Source organism: Homo sapiens, chromosome 5, assembly GCF_000001405.40.
Source record: "Homo sapiens chromosome 5, GRCh38.p14 Primary Assembly".
NCBI lineage: Eukaryota > Metazoa > Chordata > Mammalia > Primates > Hominidae > Homo > Homo sapiens.
The window spans coordinates 1200369-1225145 of record NC_000005.10 but is presented as its reverse complement, the minus strand read 5'-3'; the positions used below and the strand labels follow the sequence as shown (position 1 = coordinate 1225145).

At 60.1% G+C, this 24777-nt stretch overlaps 1 protein-coding gene across 1 annotated transcript, besides 1 other annotated feature; it reads right to left on the bottom strand.

The window, feature by feature from the left end:
* SLC6A19 (solute carrier family 6 member 19) lies at positions 35 to 23551 on the bottom strand. Its single transcript, NM_001003841.3, has 12 exons — positions 23294 to 23551; positions 16260 to 16400; positions 14565 to 14702; positions 12662 to 12843; positions 11573 to 11683; positions 11081 to 11193; positions 8460 to 8588; positions 8201 to 8357; positions 6039 to 6243; positions 5482 to 5641; positions 3833 to 3995; positions 35 to 3445 (listed from the first exon to the last, which is right to left on the bottom strand). The coding sequence occupies exons 1-12, from the start codon at positions 23493 to 23495 to the stop codon at positions 3242 to 3244; spliced, it is 1905 nt and encodes a 634-aa protein (NP_001003841.1). The 5' UTR covers positions 23496 to 23551; the 3' UTR covers positions 35 to 3241.
* Positions 20520 to 21083: an enhancer, noted in NCBI's record as "H3K27ac-H3K4me1 hESC enhancer chr5:1204178-1204741 (GRCh37/hg19 assembly coordinates)". NCBI's record gives its function as "activates a minimal SCP1, AML or CMV promoter by ChIP-STARR-seq in primed H9 embryonic stem cells {active_cell/tissue: H9 hESC(primed)}" and the evidence as "EXISTENCE:reporter gene assay evidence [ECO:0000049][PMID:30033119]".

Here is a 24777-nt window from a genome sequence, read left to right as displayed (position 1 = left end):
ACACCAGGATTCCCAAGACTGAGGCATATTTTAATCGTTTTAAATTTCTTATGTTTTATTTAACCATTTGATCTTGAGATACTTATAGATTGTCACTCTGTCACTGTCAGAAACAACTCAGATCAGATCGCATGCACCCGAAGCCCGGATTCCCGCAGGGATCCTCTCAGCTGCTCTTGGGAGGCCGGGGGCTGCCCTCACACCCACTGCTGCCCTCGGGCCGCTGGGCAGGACAGGGTGACAGGCACCCACCGTGCGTGGGGGCAGAGGGCTGAGTCCTCTCCTGTGCTGGGGGCACCCCTGTCCATGGGTGGAGGGTTGATGAGTTGACGCCGGGTGAGTTCAGCTCTAAGGAGCTCCCCACAGTGCTCCCTGGACTCTGGGGCTCCTCCTTGCAGATGCTCCCGCCACGGACAGGCCAAGGGCCCCCAGGCCCGCAATTGCCCCATTCCACTGGACACTGCACCCCTCAACCGTGTGGCCACAACTCCAAATCCATGAGTCCCAGGGCAGGGGCCCAGGTGGACACATTTTTGGAAGGTTCTTATTTGAGTGAGAGGAAGTGTGAGGGAAGAAGATGAGAAGAGCTGGTTGGTCCCCATTGTGAGGCCACAGGCCTGGGCCATGGCCTCTTCGGAGCAAGCCCCCAAAGCCAGACCCCCCAGGAGGAGGCAGGAGCTGGACCTGCCGTCCCCACCATCCCGTCTGAGGTCACTGGCTCACTCATCCCTCTACGTCTGGACAACAGTAACTTCTAGGGTGAGCATACTCAATAGAAGGGATTTATTTAGAAATGTACACTTTATGCCCATAAAGCCTGCATTTCTACCACATTTACAGAGACATTGAAACCTATGAAACAACGCATGAATCAGGAGATGTAGATGAGATGGGAGCTCCCGCCCAGGGTCCTATGGCAGGCACACCAGGGTACACCAATGGATGCCAGGGCACATCAGTGCACACCTGTGCATGCCAGGGTACACCAATGCACACCTGTGCACGCCTGGCAGGGCCTCCTGGGCAGATGCCACAGGGCAGCATATTAATGGGGCACTGATGGAAATTTTCTCGATCCAGGGCCAAAGAGCAGGAAAAGATGAGGTGAGACCCTGTTGAAGCCATCAGCAGGCGAGCCCCTCGGTGGCATCACAGCCGGGGGCAGAGGCTGTGATATGTCCCCCCACCTCTGCTGCTGTGGAGTCTTGCGCATCCCAGGGCCCAGTGACAGTCAGCAGGGTGAAAGGGGCTGGTAGGGGACTCAGTGTGTGCAGTCACTGCTGGATGGGGTGCTGGAAGGGACGATTGTGACCAGGTTTCTGTGGGTGGAACATCATACTGGCACACACCAGGCTTTCAGTCCTGCCTGTAGGAATTCTCAGAACATCAGTTTAATGTAAGCGTCCAGATTCTTCTATGGAAAGCAGAGGTGACCTGTCCGTAGGAACTCTCAGAACACCAGTTTAATGTAAGCATCCAGATTCTTCCATGCAAAGCGGAGGTGACCTGTCCGTAGGAACTCTCAGAACACCAGTTTAATGTAAGCATCCAGATTCTTCCGTGCAAAGCGGAGGTGACCTGTCCGTGGAAGCAGATGTCCCAAGTGCCGACTGCCTTTGGCTGCGATGGAATGTTGAACCCCAATGGGGGCCCATCCCGTGACGGGGGCAGGGCAGGCGCCAGGCTGGGCTTCACTGAGTGGTGCGGGAGCTGGAAGCTTCTGGGGGCTGCACGGTCCTCCAAGGTGCCCTGGACACACACAGTGCCCAAGGATGGCAGCCAGGGTTGAGTTACCCTGTAACCCATCTTTTCCAAAGGCTGGCTAAAAATTCACACAGCTCATGTCCTCTTAAGAAAATGCACAGAGTGGTATTTGCCTTGAATTATGCCAAGTTGAGTTTTATTTAACTGCTCATCTATTTGTGGTGGCAGGAGCAATGATTAAATGGCTGGCATTCATTAAGCCGGGAAGCGGCCAGAACGCAGAGACTCGGCAGCGGCCGACTGGAGGCAGGGCCCCGGTGGATGCGGCCAAGTTTTCTCAGAATCGCCAGCAACTGCCCACTCCGGCTTCCGAGAGGCTGCTCCGGGTCGAGGGCTACAGGGCTCTGGGAACCCCCAGGTCAAAGGTCAACACCAAGGGGAAGGGGATGGGTGGGGGTGGGTAGCAAGAGTCGCTCCCAGGAGCCAAGATAGTACCCTGTGCTTTTGTCTCCTGCCACCCACAGAGATGAAGCATAGAGGTGCTGCCCCCACCCCAGCTGCAGCTTCCGCTTCCCCCGGGCACGTGCAGGGCACAGCACGTCCCCAGTGGTCTGCTCCCCTCTGCACATGCACCCCGTGACTGTGGCAAGGACAAACACAGAGGGCAGCTGGGCCCCGAGTGGCAGGCATGTGTCCCAGCGACGTGTACGCACACATATCCACACGTGTCCATATGTGTGTCCATATGTGTCCATATGCGTGTCCATGCGTGTCCATATGCGCACATACATACACACTGGCATGCACAAATGCACACCTGCCTGAATATGCACACACACGAGCACACATCACACACATATACACAAACAGGTACAGACACACACATATACACAACACACGTATACACACACGTACACATGCTCACATATACACACGTCACACAGGCATACATGTACATATACACATGTGCATATATACTTGCAAACGCACACACAGAACACACATACACACAATTGCATGCATGTATATACACTCACAGATATACATATACACGTGCATGTGGACACCCATTGTACGAGCACATGTGCATGCATGTATACACGTGTGTGTTCACACATATGCACACCACACACAACATAGGCATGTATGTCTATATATACATGCACACACACGGGCAGCAAATATCGCACACATGTATATGCATGCACACTTGCACACTCACACAATGTCCATACATGTACATGCACACACACAACATGACACATCTGCACACATGGCACATGCACATACAATACACACACCCACACACATGTATATGTGTGCATACACGTGCACACTCACACAGTGCCCATGCATGTACATGCACACACGATACATATCTGCACACATGGCACATGCGTGTACAATACACACACTCACACACGAGCATACACTCACGCTTACACACATGCAGGTGCAGCCCGGCCCCCACCCCACAGGTCTTGCTGGTTCCTCCTTCCCTGACACCAGTGTATGGCACGCCGTGGGATGGGCCTTCTCAGTACTTCAGGTCCCCGTTCATGGAGGCTGTGGACAGTGTGCTCACCAGCCCCTGATGGTCCCCTGGCTTCTGGCAGTGGTTCCTGATGAGCTTGTAGATGGCATAGCCAGGGATGGTGAGGGAGGGCACTCCAGCCACAATCACCACCACCACATACACCCAGTTCGGGTAGGAGATCTTCTGGGATTTGGGAAATTCCTCCTGGGGAGAGAGCCCCATGGGTGAGTAGGCATCCCGGGAGCCAGTGGGGTTCACTTTGAGGCAAAGGCCCCTCACCCCATGACTCTCACCTCCTGTCCTGTGGGGCAGGCAGGGTGGCCTGGGGCTCCTCCAGCTTCCCCTTTCCCCTACCTCCCAACTCCCAGCCCACCCACCTCCCTCCTGGGATGGTGTGACACATTGGTGTCAGGGAGGGGGGAACCAGCAAGATGCGTGGGGTGGTGGCTGGACTGCACCTGAGTGTGAGTGTGTGTGCCCATGTGTGTGGGTGTGTGTATTGTGTGTGCATGCGCCATGTGTGTGGATGAGTGTCCTCCTTTCCCCTTCCCCATTCCTCTCCCCACCCCAGGCGACTGCCTGGACACTTACGTAGCCAGGGTCCCAGATGCTGTAGGTCAGCTCCTGACTGACCTCTACCACGAAGAAGAAGAGGAAGATGATCAGCATGAGCAGGGGGCTGACCACGCGCCACGTGACTTGCCAGAAGATGTTGGGCTTGTGGCCGATCATGAACTCGATGTCCTTATTGAACCTGCCAAGGCCAGAGACAGCTGTCACTGCTGCTACCAGCTGGGCTTCAACTCGCTAAGCTTTCTGTACGTTCTGCTACCCGAACAGATGGTGTGCTGCGAGGTGCCCGGCCTCCCCTTGCCAGGGCCCGATCCCTCCCTCCTGGTCATGGGTGCCTCCTCAAGCAGACCCCTCTGTGGGCACGGCCAGCAGCTGCCTCTGCCCTACGATGCCACCAGCCAGTGCTCGACGGCTTGCCCATGGTCAGAGGTGCCCCGCCCTCACCCACGTCTGAGGTGGTCACTGGTGCAGAATGGGGGGTTGGAGGAGGGAGCGCCGCCAGACACCCCCAGCCTCTCCTTCCTTAGCAGCACCCTGAAGTCAGAAAACCCCACACCTTCCCCACCCTACGGCTCAATTCCCATCCTCTGCTGAACCCTCTTCTGCGCAAAGGAGTTTATCGTCTGCATAAATCAGGATGGAGCAGGCAGAAGGTTACACCCAAGCCGGTCCCAGGCCTGCAGTGTCCAGGTGGGTACCCATGGTCCCCGCAGAAGCGTGTGAGGAGGAGCTGGTCTCACGTGCTCCACATTTAGGTGGTTATGCATGCACCTCACACCCGGCAAGGGCTTACTGCCCTTGCGTCCTGCAAACCCCACTGCTGGGGTTTTCCCAAGCCGGGAGCCTGCAGGGCTGTGCCTGCTCAATGTTAACTGAGTCTGTCCAATTATTTCTTTTCTTCCTCTTTTTTTTTTTTTTTTTTGAGATGGAGCCTCATTTTGTCACCCAGGCTGGATTGCAGTGGTATGATCTCCCCTCACTGCAACCTACACCTCCCAGGTTCAAGCGATTCTCCTGCCTCAGCCTCCCGAGTAGCTGGGATTACAGGCATGCACCACCATGCCTGGCTAATTTTTGTATTATTAGTAGAGACGGCGTTTCATCGCGTTGGCCAGGCTGGTCTCAAACTGCTGACTTCAAGTGATTTGCCCACCTTGGCCTCCCAAAGTGCTGGGATGACAGTCATGAGCCACCGTGCCCGGCCTTGTCTGATTATTTCTAAAGTTGTGGTGGCTCCAACCAAGAGTCCCTGTCTGAGGCTCTACCACACTGCTGGAGTCTCTCTGCCCTAAAAAGGCCTGGAGCATCAGGGAAATAAGGCACTCCCCACCCCCCTGCACACACACACACACAAGGAGCATCCCCGGCCGTGGGCCCTGCAGTGGCCTCGAGCTCTGGCTCTCTGCGTGGGCACCGCCAAGGTCTGGGCTCCACTGGGCTTCCCGGCTCCCAGCAACACAAAGCTCCCATTATCGGCATGCCAGGGCCCTGCTGATGCCCTCTGCTCCCGCCAGGACAGGTCTACACCAGCCTCTGTGGCCGGCCGAGGCCCCGAGTCATAGACTCTCCCTCCGTACCCTGAACACAGCCCGGGTCCTCCCTCACAGGAACGCCCTGTGACCTGGCTTTTCTGCATTAGAGGCACCTGTCCCCACCGTGGCCCCTACCTGTCCACACCGTACACGTAGACCACAGAGAACATCTCGCAGAAGGCGATGATGAGCAGGGGAATGGAGCCGGCATAGCTGTCCAGCAGGGAGAGCCAGTACTGGCCGGAGTTCAGCGTGAAGATGAAGCCAATGAGGAATGTCCCCAGGCAGATGAGGCCTGCAGGCCGGGGGACAGAGCTGCTCACACGCCCAGGGGCTGCACGCACGGCCAGGGACAGAGCTGTTCACACAACTGGGGGCTGCACATATGGCCAGGGACAGAGCTGTTCACACACCCGGGGGCTGCACACACTGCCGGGGACAGAGCTGCTCACATGCCCGGCGGCTGCACGCACGGCCGGGGACAGAGCTGTTCACACGCCCGGGGGCTGCACACACGGCCGGGGACAGAGCTGTTCACACGCCTGGGGGCTGCACGCACGGCCGGGGACAGAGCTGTTCACACGCCCGGGGGCTGCACGCACGGCCGGGGACAGAGCTGTTCACACAGCCGGGGGCTGCCATCCCACAGGTGGCACCATTGCCATGGGGACCCCTCCCGACTGCACACGTACCTGTGAGCACCTCCTTGGGCCACTTCGGGGGGATGACTCTGAGGTCCTGCAGGGGCACAACGACGCCCTCCATGTTCCCAAACATAGATGACAGCCCCAGGCAGAAGAGCATAATGAAGAAGAGCACAGACCACAGTGGGGACAACGGCATCTTGGTGATGGCCTCGGTGAAGACGATGAAGGCCAGGCCTGTGCCCTCCACGGCCTGCACGGATGACACACAGTCACCAGGGCCTCTGCCCTCCGTGGGCTCCGTCTCCTCCCCGCCCGAGGTCTCGTGCGTCGCCAAGCCACGCAGCATGGGGCGGGCAGGTCTGAGCTGTCATGAAATAGCTAGATCTTGTCTTTTAGGCCCAAAGTGTATTTTCAAAAGCCGAACTATGCATCAGGACCAGCACGTGGATCCCATCACCAAGCGGCACTCAGAGCCCCGTTCCGCCCACAGACGGGCTCTCCCAACACAGGGAGCTTCTGAGATCTCACAGCCTGCACAGCCCTGATCCAGTGCAGCTGAGCCACGTACCCAAGGTGTTACGCGAGTCACCTGTTAATAAACGCATACCCTGGACGTGCTCGGAAGGCAGGTGGCCAACGGCCGGGTTAGAGCAGGCTGTGCTCACAGACAGGCTCTCGGGTAAGAACCACCAAGGCGCAACCACCCGGACGCCTTCTGCTCCTGTGTCTGGTCCCAGACCGTCACCAAGAACCAGGCCCCGGCCCATCACGGTCCTGGCGATCAGTGGTCCTAGCTGTGGAATCTCCGGAGAAAAACCTCCACCCATGAGGCTGAGGGACCTGCCCAGCTCCGTGGGGCTCCCTGCAGGGAACTGGCTCAGGGATTGGATATGGCAGGACTCAAGGACCCATCTGAAGACAGGGTCCTCCACGGCCGCTTAACACAACTATGCGAGTTCCAGAGGCAAGAGTGGAACCCCTTGCACAGCAGGACGTGGCTTGTGGAGGGCTCTGAAGAGTTTAAAAGGAAATCATTAGAAGCAGGCAGCAGCACGTGCATACAAGGCACGCCGCTCTTCAGTGCAGGGCAGGAGGTGGGAGGAGGCGGGAGGAGGCAGGAGGTGGTGGGAGGTGGCGGGAGGAGGCGCCAGGATGGAGGCGCCAACTCTGGTGCTTCTCGGAATGGCACTGCCGAGGGCAGCCCTGCCATGAGATTGCACACCACGGGGGTTTCTTTCTGTGGCGTTTCTAGAAAAGGCAGGTGGGCAGAGCAGCAGAGGGGGTGCCTGGGGCTGCCAGGGGTGGGGAGCAACAGCACACGGAAAGCTTGCGGGCGTGGACGGGGGTGCTGCACATGGCTGTGCAAGGCACTGGAAGTGGGCGAATTTCATGGTGCATAATTATAACTCACTAAAGTTGCTTTTAAAAGACATTTAGACCAGACGGCCCTGTTGGGCCCCTCCTGCCTGCGCATCCTGCACTTGGAGGCCTCCTACAGTTGGTGGCACAGGGTCGGGAGAGGCCGCGGAGCCCTCTGCCTGGCTCCAGCTGGTGCGGAAATGGCTCGCTCTGCCCAGCTCTTCTCCCAGTGGCCACTGGAGAAGCAGCACTGGGCCCTGAAGTGCCTCATGCCCGCAAAATATGGGGTGGCTCCCCAAAAGAACACTGCATAATGAAAATCAGCAAATGTCGACCTTTAATTGTAACAGCATCTAAACTTCGTTAACTGTGGAAATAGTATTCAAAAACACTCGTTACGTGGAGTATCCTCGACATCAGCGTGGCTGAGCCTCGCCCGCCAGTCCAAAATAAAACCTGTCCTGGTGGCCTCACAGGTTCAAAAACAGCTACAAAAACTCTTTCAATGTCGATAGAAGTCACCGTGTTACAGATGGCCCCAGGGGGTGTTTTGTGTGTGTGATAGGAGAGAATGGAGGGGCAGCCCGTGGTGTTCCCCGGCTCCTGCCTCTGAGCCTACGCCTCTGCGTTAACAGGAGCCTCGGAAGTGAAATCTCGTGGCCTGGCAGACACCAGCGCCCCAGACCGAAGAGCCCTGGACGCCAGGCAGAGCAGACAGTGGGAGCTGGGCCTCCCGGCTGAAGCTCAGCATCTGCGTCCTCCACAGGCCAGGGGCCCAGGGGTGGCCGGACTCTGAGGTGCCAGCAAGGGGTGCCCTCTCCCTGCCTCGAGCTCCGGAATGGACCTACCTCTGAGAGGAAGGCGTTGATGTCGCAGGTCTGGAACACCAGCTGCGCGTAGGCCGCGGGGTCGGAGGCGTTGCACCGCTGCTGCATGTCCACAAAGTTCTCCTGGGTCACGTTGCCTTCAGGCAGGTCGAACCCGTTGATGAGGGTCAGGATGTTCCTGCGGGTCAGATTGAGGCTGACGGCCACCTGGGGCCAGGGAGGCTGGGAGGCTTCCTGGAGGCGCAGCCCAAGGCACCAGGATGGTGGGACAGCCACTCACGTGCTGAAGCAGTCGTCGTAGCGCTGTGTGGCGCGGAACCCAATGACGGAGTAGACCACGATGGCCACATACACCGATGTGAAGCCGTTGATGATGGACACAATCACCGAGTCCTTCTCGCAGTTGTTGCTGCAGACGAGACCAGTGTCATGGCGGCTGGCGATGAGGTCCCAGGTCAGGACACAGCCCAGGGCAGCATCCGCATCCCGCCCAGAGCGCCAGCCCCAGGAGTGAGAGGCTGAGCCACTGAGTGACACGGGGAGGCAGTCGGAGCCCCTGCCCCACTCCGAGCAGGCTCAGGGGATGCAGAGGTGGCCCCAGGGCAGCACCTGGTCCCCTGCTCACCTGGCCTCAGCTTAGGGGCTGCCCCAGGCTATGACTGCTCCTGACTCCCCAGACCACTCTGGTTATAGAGCTCAGGTCTCTTTCCGCCCCGTCTTGTGCCTGCGGTAACCTCCGTCAAGCCTCTAGGGACAGCTCCAGGCCAAAGACATCACATCCATTCTCCCCCAGCCTCCACCCTAGGCGTCCTGTCCAGCTGCTTGGCAGCTGAGACCTCACCATTTCCTAAAGGCACCCTGTGCTCAGTGTGTCTTGAACTCAAGCCCTGACCTCCCTGACCCAACCCAGCCAGCTCACTCCACCCTTCCCATTTCGGTTGATGCTGACACCATCCTTCCAGATGCTTCCATCAAAAGCTGAATCTGTTAGCCTCAGGGAAATGCCAATCAAACTGCAGTGAGATCTCACCACACCCCTGCTGGGATGGCCAGAAACAAAAGTCAGACAATAACAAGTGTTGGTGAGGATACGGGGAAACTGGAGCTTCCTGCACGCTGGTGGGAACGTGAGTGGTGCAGCCACCGTGGAAAACAGCCTGACAGCTCCTCGAAGGACTGCATGTAGAGGCCAGCATGACGCAGCAACTCCACTCCTAGGCGCACACCCAGAAGAACGAAAGCATGCGTCCACAAAAACGCGTACACACAGGCTCACGTCAGCATGACTCATGACAGCCAAAACGTGGAAAATGTCCATGGATGGATATGCACAAACCGTAGCCCATGCACACCATGAAATATTGCTCAGCCCTAAACAGGAATGGCGCTCTGACGCCGGCTGTGATGGGATGAGCCTTGAGGATGTTGTGCCCCATGCAAGGATCAGACACAGGGCTGTGGCAATGTGGCCACCCCATTCGCAGGAAATGTCCGGACTAGGCACAGCCACAGAGGCAGAGAGCGCATCAGTGCTCACCCGGGGCAGGAGGACAGGGCACTGGGGAGCGGCTGCTCACATATGTGGAGCTTTTGCTGATTGGAACCTTCTAGAACTGGACAGTGCTGATGGCTGGCTTCACAACTCTGTGAATGTACTTAAGACCATTGAACTGGGCATTCCAAATGGGGGAGTTGTGTGGTATTCAAATGATCTGAATAAAGCTGTTATAAAAATAATTCACCCTCAGTTCCACCTCAGCCACTCCACGAAAAAGTCAGAGTCCTCAATCCTGCCTTGGCCCTGCCCCAGCTGCCTGCAGTGCCCAGGGGTCCTCCTAGCACCTGCCCTCAGCACCCAGGGGAGCTCCTGAGGCCTGGGTGGGGCTTCACTGCTCCACCCAGTGCTCGCACAATGACTCCAGGGTCCTTTCTGTCCCTCCAACACCCTCTCTGCCCACAAGCCCATCTGCAGGTGCCTCCAAGCACATCTCCCTCTGCACCCCAGCCCTCCCTGCCTGGGCTCTGCACCTGCCAAGCCCCAGCCCCGCCTCAGCTATGCCCTCCCTGCCCAGCCCCGCCCCTCACACCCAGGGCCCACCCTCCCTACCCAGGCCCCCGTCCAGTCTAGGCCCCACCCTCCCTACCCAGGCCCTGCCCCCTTGCACTGAGGGTCCCCTGTGTCTGACTCCAATCGCACCTTCACAGCCTGGAGGGCCACCCTGACCCCTAGGAGTCCTCCCTCACCCCCAGCCCCTTCTGCTCTGAAATTCTGGTCACCACACAGAGGACAACTTCTGCACTTGCTTGTCAACCTGCAGAGCCACAGGTCACTGAGGGCAGGTCCTGATGCACCAGGTCGGGCACATAGTAGGTGCTTCATAAATGCTAGTGGAAATTAACTGACACCAGCTGTGCTCCTCCCAGACGCTGCTGGGGACTCCAGGGTATGCATCCTTCCCAGGGGCATTGGGAAGCGCAGTGGGTACGTGGGGAAGGGGCAGTGGAAGGATCAGACCTTGGTCGGGGACGTGGAGGGCGTCGGGGGCGCCACATGTCTGGGGGCCTGGGATGCCCAGGGGTGGGCTGGGAGCGATGTGGGTGTGGAGCAGGGAACTGGGGAGAGCACAGGAGGGGTCTGCACCAGGCTCGTGGAGGGACGGGTGTGGGGAAAGCTGCAGGCGCCCGGCTCCTGGCCCTCCTCACAGGGAGACCTGCCCCTCCTCCACATGCTGCACTCTAGACTCAGCTCACATGGACCCCGAGCAGGAGGGAACGGGCCCATCGGGGCAGCAAGGCCCCGGCCACACAGCCACAGAGTGCTTTCCACCTTGTCTTTTATCCTCCCAGCAAGATCCCCCCAGGACTGAGAGGGAAACTGAGGCCCACCACACCCGCACTCACTGCACAGAGTTGTAGCTGGAGAAGGAGATGAGGCCCCCGAAGGCCAGGGAGAAGGAGAAGAAGACCTGTGCGCCCGCGTCCAGCCAGGTGTCCGGCTGGGCCAGCTCCGTGACCTGCGCCACATGGAGACCCTCAGCCACTCATGGTGCAGATGGGGCCATGGGGACCTGGGAGGGTGTGCTCCCAGGGAGGCGGGGAGGGTCGAGGCTATTGGGGTGGTCAGGACAGGCCAGGGCCCCCTGGGGTGGCAGCTATGCCTTCCCTGTGGGGGCTCCGTCGGCTCACAGGGGCAAAGCCACCCTCCCAGGAGCTGCCCCAGGCCCCAGGGACAGGCCTTGCCCTCGCTGGCCCCGTGGACCTCCTCAGGCCTGGGACTGGTCGAGCAGCAGGCTGCCTGTCCCCGTGGGTGAGAGCTGGTATTGAGGCTGGCGGGGGCACAGGGCAGCCAGGCCTCTCCCGGGGTCTGGGCCCAGGGCAGCCTCGGGGACTTACGTTGGGCGTGAAGAGGAAGACGATGCCATTGGTGGCGCCCTTCAGCGTCAGGCCTCGGATGAGGAAGATGGTCAGGACGACATAGGGCAGCGTGGAGGTGATGTACACGGCCTGCGGAGGGCGGGACATGTGGGATGGGCGGGAAGTTGGGGGGCCAGGCATGCGGTGGGGGCGGCACGTGGGGGCGGGGCATATGGGGGCGGGGCATGTGGGGAATGGGGGCCAGGCCTACGGGGGGCGAGGCATGCTGGAAGGGTGGGGAGGGGGCCAGGCCTGTTGGGGGGACAGGGCATGTGGGAGGGGTGGGGATGGGGGCAGGGGCTGTGGGGGGCGGGGCCTGCGGAGGGCAGAGCATGTGGAATGGATGGGGATGGGGGGCCAGGCCTGTGGAGTCCGGGTATGTGGGATGGTGCGGAGGGGGGCCAGGCCTACAGGGGTTGGGGCATCTGGGGAAGGGGGCCCAGGGCGACGGGGGGCCGAGCATGTGGGACGGGTGGGGACGGGAGGCAGGGCCTGCGGGCGGCTGGGTATGTGGAATGGGTGGGGATGGGGGGCAGGGCCTGCGGGAGCCTGGGTATTTGGGATGGTGCGGAGGGGGGCCGTGCTTGTGGTGGGGGGCATGTGGGACGAGTGGGAACGGGGACAGGGCCTCACAGGCTGCCGGCCCACCAGAAGAAAGGGATGGCCGCTCTGGACCTCGTACCAAAGATTCCCATGTAGGGGAAGATCAAGCCTTACTCTTCCATTTCCACTTTCCTGTTTTATCATCACCATCATCACCATCATCATCATCATCGTCTATCTCTTTCTGGTAGTTTGTATTACTCCTACATAACGCTAAGTGTCGTGTGGGCCAACGTCAAGTTCCTGGAGCCCCAAGTCTGGTCATTTCAGGAAACCTGGGGCAGGCAGGGCCCCTCCCGCCCAGGCCAGTGAGCCTAAGGGCAAAGGCAGCTCTCTTGGTGGGGTCTGGGGAAAGGCAGAGCCCGGGACCCCCAGACCTGGGTTTTAGAGTGCAGCCGGCCGGAGGCAGGGCTGCCCGCACCCGCCCTCTGGAGCACCTGCAGCCTGGCCGGGCCCATGCAGTACCTTCCCGGTGGTCTCGATGCCGCGGATGGTGCACATGTACAGGACGCTCCATGCGCAGGCCAGGCACAGCAGCATCCACCACTGGATGGAGCCCGAGTCGCTGATGGACGTGGAGATGTTGAGCGTCTCTCGGTACCAGAAGTAGTCCACAGGGGAGCTCCTGGCGCACTCGTCCACATACCCTGGGGAGAGGGCCATTCACACACCTCAGGGTACGGGTCCCCCAAGGGAGGAGAATGGAAGGCCCTGAGCTGGAAGAAATGCCAGCCACGTTCCAGAGGCCTTGACACCAGTGACACGCCCACACGTGCACATGAACACAGGCACACATGCTCACGTGCACGCACATGCATGCACGCACACAGCACACATGCACAGCTACACCCTCGTGTGCACATCTGGTCCATGCACCTGCACACCCCACACATGCACATGCACACACACACACAGCACACACATGCACAGAGGCACACATGCTCACATGCACGCACATGCACGGACACACAACACACACACATGCACACAGGCACACATGCTCACATGCACACACATGCTCACATGCACACACATGCATGTACACACACAGCACACAAGTGTGACTGTACTCTCGCGTGCACATCTGGTCCATGCACCTGCACACCCCACACATGCACATGCACACACACACAGTACACACATGCACACAGGCACACATGCTCACATGCACGCACATGCATGTACACACACAGCACACAAGCGTGACTGTACTCTCACGTGCATATCCGATACTGTACCTCTACACCCCACACATGCACATGCACACAGCACACATGCTCACGTGCACACACATGCATGCACACACAGCACACACATAGCACACATGCACAGCTGTACCCTTGCATACACATCTGGTACACACATCTGCACACCCCATGCATGCACACACCTTTGTGAGCACACGAGCACACATTCCTACACAGGTGCACTGGTTAGAAGGCTCCAGCCCCAACAGTCAGGTGCACCCTGGGCCTCACGCTGCTCCCTCTTCCCTGTGCAAGTCTGGCAGCCTCAGAGTGTTTGCGCTCCCGGGCTGGGGCCCTTGCCTGCAACTGCCCACTCCACACACTGTCACCACTGTGGGCCTCTCTGGGCTTGTGGAACCATCCTGAGACCTTTCTAAAGGGGAAGTGGTCTAATTCCAGAGGACCCCACAGCCCCGGAGGCAGGAAAGGGCCCCGACAGTCCCAGCGAGCAGTGAGGGTTGCACGTATCGTGGGAGGACCTGTCTTATTCCAACCCCAGGGGCCATCTTGCCGGCCCCGACAGAGCAGCAGCATGCAGGGAAGCCCCGCTGGCCCCGCTGTGCTGGTCGGACCAGAAGCCGGTGGTGACCAAGCCGTTCAGGCCCCAGGACCACGTGTGAATCGCCGTGAGCTGATTGCATGTCACACGTAGAGGGTCTGCCCCCTACGCTCCCTCCCTGGGCAAGAGGGTTCTGGAAGGGCCGGGGTGGGAGGGCAATGCGGGCCCCACATGGGCAGGACAGACCCACCTGTGCGGAGCAACGCAGGGATGCATGGGGCGGGAGGCGGCAGTCCTGACACCATGTCCCTTCCTAGAGAATAGGGAGCAGCCTCCCAGCAGCCTGGGGCTCCAGGCTGGTGACCGGGGGCCCTCAGAGCAGGCACAGCCCCCCCGGGCTCCCACGCTTTCCTCCCAAGGGTCTCATCCTCCACCACGCCCCCCACACAAGAGCCACCACTTTTAAGGTCTTTTCTTTCGTGCTGTCATTTTTTGACACCCTGTTGCCTTGGGGCTCTGGTTTCTGCCACGCCTGACCTGAGTTTCCTGAGGCCATGTGCCTGCTATGAGAGACACAACAGCCTCACAGGTGAGACGGATGGGGCTGCTTGCAAGGACTCACCTGTCTGGTTCTCGTTGAGCGGGCAGTCGCTCCAGGGCAGAGGCTCCTGGAAGGAGTTGAATAAGTACCACATGATCCAGGAGATGATGGTGTTGTAATACAGTCCCACCATGAAGGACGTGAGCATGGAGGCCAGGCCTGCAGGGAGGCTGCTGCTGAGGCTTGGGGCCGAGGCACACCCTCCACTGGCCACCCATCCCCACTCTGAGCAGGAGGTCCCAGGGCTGGCACAGGGTGTGGCTGGGATGGGCTACTCCAGAATCTGAGGGGCCGACCCAGTGCAGGCCGGGATCATGCAGCTGATGCCGTGGTGCAGCCTGTACACGCCTTCCAGGCTCACACCTTCCTGGCACACGCCTGCCCTGCACACGCCTTCCCGGCTCACACCTTCCTGGCACATGCCTGCCTGGCTTGCCCCAGGCATGGGTCTCACCTGCCCAGTGCAGCCTCCAGCAGGTGCATCCAGGCCACCGCCTTCGCAGAGAACTTTTGATGTACCAGTAGCCTGGTTGCTGCCTACGGGCTGGGGGACTGCCCACTTGGCCCTGACCCAAACCGGGAAGCCCCCGTGGCCCAGGACAGGTGGGTGGGCTTCAGGAAAGCCTTCCCTGTGGAGGACTCATGAGAGGGGAGACAACAGAAACTGCAGAGGGGAATGTTCTCAATTATTTGGGGACAGCTAGGCAGGATGGAAAGTGTGCTATGTAGTACATGCTTTACTGAAGTTTCAAACTCAAAACCAAATGTGTGTTGTGAATATGTGAGTGTGAGATGGGGAAGAGAGACAGGGGGAGAGACGGAGATAGGGGAAGAGAGAGAAGAGGGAAGAGACAGAGAGAATAGGAGGGGGAAAGAAAAAAAGACAGAGACTGAGAGGGAGAGAGAGAGAGGAGGAGGATGAGAGAGAGGGGGGAAGGGAGAGAATAGGAGGGGAAAGAGAGAATGACAGAGACAGAGAGAGAGGAAGAGAGAGGGAGAGACAGAGAGAGGAAGAGAGAGGGAGGAGGGAGGTCTTGGATACTCAGCGAGAGGGTGTGGGCTCTGCCCTGGGCCTGGAGGGAGGCCTTGGAGACTCAGGGAGAGGCTGGGATGAGGGTGTAGGCTCTGCTCCAGGCCTGCAGGCTTCCGAAGGGCAGGTGCTTCCTGGACTCAGACTCCTCTCTGGAGTGGACCCTGCCCTTTCCTCCTCCGTCTTTCACCGTCTGCCCATATTCTGAGGGCTTAATGAGCCGTGTCCTCTTGGTGAGGCTGCACTGGGTCTGCTCCTGGGCCCCAGAGCTTATAAATGAGTGACTATGTCTGGGGGTGTCAGTGCTGGGGACCTCCTCACTAGGTGTGGGGGAGTGGACACAGGAGGCTGGTGCCCCCTCCTGGGCCCTGGGCTCTCGCTGAGCGCCGCCATGGGCAGGGCTTGAGTGGTCACTCTGCTGTCCAGTGTCTGGACCCTCCTGGGCCCTGGGCTGCCAGGGACTCGGGCGGCCTCTGCTGGCCTGTCTGGTTCCTGGTGAACAGGAGTGGCCTGGAGTTTCCAAAGGCCTCCAGGAGATGAAGCTGGGACCTTTGTTGCACCAGAAACAGACAGGGAAGGCAGAGCAGGGGCACCGAGGCCGGCAAGGCGAACCCTGGGCCCGGGTGGAACGGCTTCCCAGCAGAGGCGACCCCTGGGCCCGGGTGGAACTGCTCCGAGGCACTCACCTAGGCCCTTCAGGGCCGGGTGGATGGAGCTCCACACACCCAGGCTGCCCCGCCGCAGCCGCTGCCCGATGGCGAACTCCAGGTACAGCAGGGGGATGCCCTCCAGGACCAGCAGGATGAGGAACGGGATCATGAAGGCTCCTGCAATGGGAGGAGTCCACCATGCCTGAGAGCCGTTCCCGGGGGAGCAGGAAGGCCTCCCTCGGGAGCAGGCATTCACAGCAAACCTTGCAGCCCCTATGGCCGGCCCACCACTTGGGAACAGAGCTGAGATGGAGCAGCCAGTCCATGGGATCAGGGCCAGAGCTGACTCCACGTTCTAGAAGCACTGCTGGGCAGCTGGACATTCCTGACCATCACACAGGCTGAGGTCGCCTATGGGACCTCTGGACGTTGCTGTCGTTAAGGGAGGTGTGGTCCATGCCTCACGCGCTCTGACCAACATGCAACCACAGCCGCTGCCTGGGAATCGACCTCCCCACCCACCCCCTGGCAGTCCAGGAGTCCCACGGAGGAGCTGCTTTTGCCTGTCCAGCCAGGGGCTTCCAACAGCAGCGTGCCACTCCTGCCCCGCCTGTGCCAGCTGCACCTGCCACGTCCCTCCTTGGCTTAATGAACGTTCTGTGGATTTGGCATGCCTGTGGGGAGAGGCTGTTTCCTGGCAATCGTGTGTGGCCTCAGTGGGGAATTAGGGTTTAATGGGGACCGTTTTGGTTCTTAAGACAGAGTTCTAAAGATGGACCTGAGCCCAGGTGCTGGTTACATGGCATTGTGGATGTCTTTAATACCACTGAATTGTACATGTAAAAATGATTAAAATGGCAAATTTTACATATATGTATTCAATAATAATAAAAAATTGCAAAAAGGAGAACCACGTTGAGACATTTCTGCTTCTGCTGTGACAACGGTCTTGTCTTATGGGGGATCTACCCACCTCTGCACTGCTACCTCTTTGCTCTAAAAGGACACCTTCAGCTATCATTCTGGGGCTAATTCTCTAATGTGGAACAGTGTAAGATCACCTTTGAAATATGATGCTATTTAATCTTTGTGAAATTGTGGTCATTCAGTCTGGGCTAGAACTGTAGCAGGAAAGTGGGACTGTCCAGGCGCTGACAGCCAGGAGACAGGTGACTCACTCATGGTCTAAACCGAGGGCCACGTTTAGTGTTTCAACTGACTGGAGAGTTGTTTGTTTGAAAGTTGGTTTGAAATAGATAGAAGATAGGGATGTGCTGATCCTGAGAGGAAGCCGAGTGGCTCCTGCCATCATCAGGCGCAGAGGCTCAGAATCAGCCTGGGACCGGGAGAAGAGATTCAGGAAAAATCGCAGATGCTTAGAAGGATTTCACACTCACATTTCCTCACATCTTTAAATTCTGTCTCTTTTAAAAAACCAAAGCTGAAAAGCATAGGTCAGCTTCCTCTCAGAGCTCAGCGGCAGCCAGCACCCAGAGAAGGGGCCTGGCCGCGCCCATGAACTCCACTCGCCCGGCCAAGCGGGCTGCCCTGACCGCTCCCTCTGCGGGTGGACGTACGGCCTCCCAGCTCAGCCACAAGGCCCCCAGGCTACACACAGGATGAGGTGCAGCCACTCCTGGGCATCATGACGGTGCCCAAGGTGCTCGGCAGAGGGCGAGGAGGGACACAGCCTTGGCAGGGCTCCCATCCGGCCAGGGCAGCGTGGACACCGGTGGGTCCTTCACTCGAAGGTGGAGAAGGACGAGGGTCAGGGAACAGCAGAGGTGAGTGCAGGCCGTGGCGCCCGGCTTCCGAGGCTGGCCTGGCACCGCGCAGTGCGTCTCCTACCTGAACCCGAGCACCCTGCTATGGGGACGCGGAAGCAGCTCCCGTCGCGCCTGCCCCAGGCTGGACGGAAGGGCCACGCTGCAGCCGGGGTGAGCACAGCGAAGCCGACAGCCTTTGGGACCGAGGTCAGCAGCTGCAACGGCGCAAGAATTCCAAACACAGCTGTGGCTGAAGGGCCTGGGGGTGTGCAGGTCCCAAACCCCAGTGAGCCTGATCCCGACATGGGTCCTGTCTCCTGGGGGCCACCTTTGTGTCCCGTGGTGGCTGACCCTGAGAGGGAGGGCTGTGGGGATGCTCACATGACACTGGGGTCCCAGCGACAGCCCCTCCTCACGCTGCGTGTCCCTGGGGCCTCTCAGGAGGGACGCGTGACCCGCCTGCCTGCACCCTCCCCACCAGCAGAGCCAAGCCCCCATCATCCTCCCGCCCCCCAGGCTGGGCACCCTCACCCTCCTTCCCCACACACGTGTTCCATTTGTCCTTCTCCCACCAAATCTCTTACACCCTGAGCTCCCTCCATTCCATCCCCATCGCCTCCCTTCCCGACCCAGCCACTGTCTCCTTAGCCAGCAGGGCCATGTCAGATCCCAAACTACCATCCTCAGGGGATGGCACAGCACATGTGTGAGAGACAGAGACACACACAGAGACAGTGACACAGAGAGACAGAGACAGAGAGGGAGGCAGGGAGAGAGAGAGACACACACACAGAGACAGAGTCACAGAGGGGGAGATGGAGACACACAGAAAAAGAGACAGAGAGACACACACACAGACAGAAACAGAGAGAGACAGAGGAGAGAAACAGACAGGGCGATGGAGAGAGAGAGAGAGAAGGAGGGAGGGAGGGAGAAGCCAGGTACTGGAGGCTGTGACTTCCTCACTTGGCCCCTGCCAGCCTCTCTCACTGCTCCCTCTCCCAGTTTAACACGGAGCCTTTTCTCTCCCCTCCCTCTGTGTCCACTTGGTGCCTGCCTGTTGAGTGGAGCAGGGCCCTCTGGAGCCCAGCACCTCTATCCCCACACAGGCCCCTCTCTCTGAGCTGGGGTTCCAGGGACAGGTTCCTTCAGAAGCAGGAGCTGCAGGTGGCAGCAGCAGAGCCAGGTGTGTAGGGTGGGCTGGCGGGATGCTGGATTCATCGAGAGATGAAAGGCAGAAGGGAATGGTAGCCAGGTGCAGGAGATGCTCACCAGCGGGTCCCTATGGGAGGGTGTGGGGGCTGCAGGCTCACCTGCAGGGACACCCAAGACCCCAGCAGGGCCTGCTCATTAGGTTAAAATAAGAAAAGATTCACTCCTCCAATTTTTTTTTCCCAAGAGCTTGATTTGAAACTCTTCCAGACAAAACTACCAAGAAAAAGCAAGTGCATGATCCCCAGTGTCCTCCACCCTCTCCCTTCCCTCCACTATGCCCTAACCCTAAATGCTCGGGTCTTCCTATCGCTTCATCTCCATTGAGAAAACTCCTACTCATCCTTGAAAACCCCACCAGGGTGTCCCCTCTTTTGAGAGTCTCAGTTGTTGCCCTTGCTCCTGGTGGCTCTCCTTTCTGAAGGTTCCTCCGGGCAGGAGACCCTCAAATCCCCAACCCCTGGGGCTCAGGCTCAGCATGGAGCAGTGAACAGAGAGGACTGGGGGTGGGGGGCACACACCCACTCCACCCCAAATGCAGCCCGGAGGCAGCCAGGCCCTCCGTTGCTCCCAATGAAGGAGGCTGTCCTGCCCCAAGAAACTCAAGGAAAGCCAAGCATTCTTGACAATTAAAGCCACCAGAATATGAATATTTGTCTTTTAAACGCAGCGACTTCTTCCTAGTGTGGGGTGAGGTGCAGAGGAAGGAGAGAAGGAAAGGGGCGGCCAGCGCCCAGGGAACACTGCGTGGCTCTGCCTGGTGGGGCCCTGCAGGGCGCCTGGACGTGGTTGCAAAGGTCCCTGGAAACCAGGCCTCTCTGCGGCGCTGCAGATGTTGGCTCACTCAGGTGGAAGCAGGTAACCGAGAGAATGGGGTGGGGACGTGGCCAAATGGAAAGCACCCAGAGGGAAAGAGACACTGGGCACAGAAACAGTTCCTCCTGTCTGTCCTTGAAAAAGTAGGAAACCAGGAGAGAGGGGGAGGAGGGAGCTGCAGTTCTCACGCAGGGACTAAGCTTCCCCTTTTTTCTCTCTCCAGCAGGTGGTGTTTGTGGCACCAAGTAAATGCTGCATGGATTTTTGCTAAGAATTAGCTGCAGATGGACTAAGGGGAAAGCTGACCCCGGGGCCAGGCGTTGAGCAGCAAAGAAGAGACAGCTGGAAACAGCTGTGCTGGCGCCACATGGTCCTGGAAGGGGTGGCTCCTCCGGCTCCCGCACGCCACCTCGCTCACGGACACCATCACTGCCCTGTGCAGAGGAGCTGGGGGGGCAGCCCCTGAGGGGCCAGCTGTGGGGTGGGCTCTATCAGCAGCCACTGACGGGGACACACGGGGCAACTGAGGTTTCTGGACGGACACAGGTGGGCATGAATGCGTCTCCGCCTGCGCCACCGGCACTGCGGGGCCCTGCCGTGGGGATGTGGTGCTCCCAGGTGGGGGTGAGTGGGGTGAGCCCTGGCTGACCACGCCTCACGGCTTTTGGTTGCTGTTCCTGCACACCTGCCCACTGCCCCCAGCACCACCCTCGGGGGGCTCCGCCATCACACCCATTTCCCAGGTGAGAATGCCCAGGTGCAGCACGCCCTTGAGACGGCTCAGGTGAGTGGGGCGGCTGAGTTTGGAAATGCCCTTCCTCAGGAAAGTGTCCCTTGAGCCTGCCCACCTGGCACAGGCTCTCCAAGGAGGGCAAAATCTGTTAAGACACAGGAGACTCGGAGGCACGCGTAAATGGTTTTTAACCTCGAAGGACAATCCCAGACACTCAGGAGGCTTCCAAGAGGGAACCAGGAGGACCTGGCTGCCTGCTTCCCCTCGATTTGGTCTCGATGACCCGCATCAATTAGGAAATCTGGTGTCACTGACAAGGCATGCATGCTGGGGCCCTCACTAAGATGCACAGAGAGAGAGTGCGCTGTCTGTGGGTGTGGCCTCCCAGGGACGCAGCCTGCCCCACTGTTTTGGTGCCCATGAGGCCCCCAGGAGCCATAGGAGGGGACCCTGTGTCGCCGGGTCCTTTCAGCTGCCTCCCTGAAAGCTCCCTTGTGGCAGAGCTGCGGCCCAGATTGGATTCACCAGGAGACGGGTGCCCTGCTGGGAAACCCGGTGGCCTGCAGAGCCGTCTCCCATTCTCGGGGCCCTGCCCTTCTGGCCCGAGTCCCTCTGGCTGCAGTGTGGGCTTCAGCTCTTTCAGGCTGGTGGTCTGGTATGTGGGGTCCTGGTCAGCCCCCACAGCATGACCAAAAGGCACAGGGTTCCTCCAGGCCGGGGCGACTGCCAGAACCCTGTGGAGCCATCTGCGATGCCGCAGCTGATGGGGGCCCAGGTGACAGTGGCCCTCAGAGTCTAGCAGGTGACCTGGTGGCCCAGCCGAAGGGCCAGGTCAGGGGAAGCTTGTCTGGGGTCTGGGGAGAAGGGCCTGCTGGTGTCCACCCCAGGAGTGGGACCATCTGAGACCCAGCACATCCCAGAGCCCTGCTCGGCCCTCCTCACCTGGGCCTGCCTGCCCGGAACCCGCTGCCCGCTGCCCGCTGCCCGCACCTGTCCACCCCAGCATGGCCCAGGGTGCAGCGCCAGCACCCGCTGCTTGAAAGCTGCTCGCTCCCAGGCTCCACCGTGCACAGCGGCTGGTCTCTGGGTGTCAGAGCGGGGACTATCTGAGGTGCTGGGAGCCCCATCAGATTCCTGCCCAAGCCCGCATCTTAGAACTTGCCCTTCTGTGCAAAGACAAATAACTTCCCAGGCAGGCTCAGGCAGTCCCAACCCCTCCTCTTCCCAGGAGGCATGTGTCTGCCCCTCCATCCCCAGTGGGGATGTGAGCCTGTGACTCAGTTTCTCCTCCAAGCTAAACAAACTCAGGGTGTGGGTGAGCGCAGGGATCCTCCCCACAGGATAGGGCCCTGGGGGAGGGGGCGAGGACAGTGGCCAGGAAGTCCCCTGAGGCTTTGGTGAGCTGAGACTTGGGGACTGTCAGGGACTATAGTATCGGAGTGGCCAAGGTCCCCCGACCTGCCTCCAGTGGAAAGTGCAGGCTGGACCAGAGGCTCATGAAGCGCCCACCCCCGCAAGGCAGTGATCAACTCCTTGACAATGCTGGAGGCGAAACTGATTCAGGAAAAGCCCATTTCTGTTTTTCTTTAAAAACCTTCACATCACAAAGCCCGCGTGAGAGACAGCAGCTCTCCATGGTGAGAAGGAACAGGGCCCCCTGAGGGCAGACTCCTCTAAACGGAGGCTGAGACCTTCACGGCCCCCCCGTGAACTGCCCCAGGGCAGCAGGAAGCCTGTTTCCCAAGGGTGCCCGGCCCTCCTGGACCTTCCGCTGAGAAAGCAGCAGGTTTATGAGGGCAGCAGCTTTGGGGTTCGCCAAGCCCAAGGCTGAGTTCAAGTGTGGGGGTCCTAGGTACAGCCCCCTGCCAGGCCTGGGAGCCACTTCTCAGATGCTCAGGACCACTGGGCAGGAACACAAATGTCACCTCTGTGCCAGCAGCGGCCATGCCTACCTGGGCCGCAGGAGCCAGAGGAACGAGGAGCAGTCAGGCTTGTGTGTTGGGTGGGCACAGCGGCTCCCGGCCTCCAGGCCTGAGGGCACCTGGCTCAAGAGCCAGGCCCGAGTCCACAGGCTCCGGCTACCCACTCTGCTCCTCTAGGGTCACCTGCCCCCAACCCAGCTACCTCCTCTGCTCCCTGCACTGGCAGGTGTCCGCCTGTGGGGCTGGGACGAGAGGTGATGCCCAGGAGGGCCCAGCCCCGCGTCCTCCGAGGAGGGGCTGTACCGGGAGAAACACCCTTCCCCCGGCCCCACCCTCAGGCCAGAACGTTCCAGGACTGCCAGTCTGGAACACAGGGCCCTCCCTGGAGCCCCACACGAAGTCTTGGGGTCGTGCCGGCCAGGCCCATCTCCTCACCAGCAGCCTAGGAACCGGGCACGGGGGCCCGTGGGGGCCCCAGCTCCCCCCACACCCTGCGGCTTCTCCTCTCCCCTCCGTGCTTGGGGAGCCGAGGGTCCGGGGAGGATGTCTGCCCAGGGCCTCTGCGTGTGTCTGTGCTTCCCTGGCCACGGCCTCGCCCGCAGCCCCGCCCGGCCAGCCTACCTCCTCCGTGGCTCTGACACAGGTAGGGGAAGCGCCACACGTTGCCGAGGCCCACGCAGAAGCCCAGGCAGGTGAGCATGTACTGCGCCTTGTTGTCCCACTTCGGCCGGGAGCTGGCCTCCTCCTGCTCGATGGTCTCCAGCTCAGCCAGGGACGGGATCCGGGCGTCTAGGCCGGGGTTGGGCAGCACGAGCCTCACCATGGTGGTCGCTGGACGGCTCCGCACACAGCAGGCAGGGCAGAAGCTGGAGGGCGAGTGGCCGTGGGCCGGGAGCCGGGCACTTTATAGAGAACCTTTGGCACCTCGCCCCAGGCACCTGGGCAGAACGGAGCCAGTCGTCAGCAGATCTGCAGGGTGCGTCTGCGGAGGGACTGTTAATGCCTTATCTGCAGAGACGCCCGGCCCCGGGGCCAGCAGAGCCACCCACTGCCTTCGGGCAACCGGAGGCTGCTCCGTGGGCGCTGGCCACCCCTCCCCCTGCACAAACGCACACACAAATGCGTACAAACGCCGGTGCACCCCGGGGAGAAAGAACCAAGGCAAACAGGATGCTGGCTCTGCCCCGGTCTGGGAGCCCCTGGCTGCCGCACACCCCCACCTGCAGGACGCCGGGTGGGCCTCTCCACAGCTCCCTGGAGCACAGGCATCCCCGGCCCCCACCCCAGTCCAGGGAGAGGGAACTCAGCGGGAGCAGGGGCCCTGGGGCAGCTCTTGGTCTGCTCACACCAAGCACAGCGAGGCCCTGGACCCCTCCAGCCTGGCTCTGGGCTCTAGACGGCTGCTCGGGGGCCCGGCTTCCCACCAGTCCCCACGGAACCACGGCTCCTTGGGATGTGGCCTGAATCAACCTGAGAGTGGGGTTCCCGTGGCTGTGCCCCCTGGGCCACAGTTTCATTCTGGGGTTCGTAATGAACTTCATAATGAACAGCTCACGCTGCCCAACCCCAGCCTGGATGCCCGGATCCCATCCCTGGCTGAGCTGGAGAACATCGAGCAGGAGGAGTTCAGCTCCCGGCCATAGGTTCAGGACCCAGAGCCACCCTCTAGGGCAGCCTCGTCCCCAAGGGCCCTCTGGGGTCACGGGGGATGGAGGGTCCTGTGTCATGGAACCTGCAGCCACCCCAGATCCCCACCTTCCCGGTGACTGCACGGTTTCTGTCCTTCTGTGGAGCACTTTGTGGGGGGCAGTCCTGTGCCGGGCATGGGACAGCGAAGGAGATGGTGTTCCTGCTCCCCAGCAAAGAGGCCGTGCAGGGAAGCCACAGGGCTGACCACGGGGTCCAGGAGGGGCAGGAGGAACGTTGCGGGGAGTTCAGGAGAGGATCCTGGGGGTTGTGTCTCCAAAGCCAGAGTGGGATTCTCTCCTGGTTTTCCGCACAGGGAGTTGGAGGCCATCCTCTGTCGGGCGCTGCCCGTTTGGGCCCCCACTTGGGCCTCCCCTCACGTCTCTCCCATCTAGGAGACCTCAAGCTCTGGAATCCCG

Coding starts and splice junctions, on each gene's coding strand:
- SLC6A19 (NM_001003841.3), bottom strand. CDS start 23,495: ATGGTGAGGCTCGTGCTGCCCAACCCCGGCCTAGACGCCCGGATCCCG. Junction 11,194..11,572: donor TCTTCCTCTTCACGCCCAAC/GTAAGTCCCCGA, acceptor CATGTGGCGCAG/GTCACGGAGCTGGCCCAGCC. Junction 8,358..8,459: donor TACGACGACTGCTTCAGCAC/GTGAGTGGCTGT, acceptor TCTGACCCGCAG/GAACATCCTGACCCTCATCA.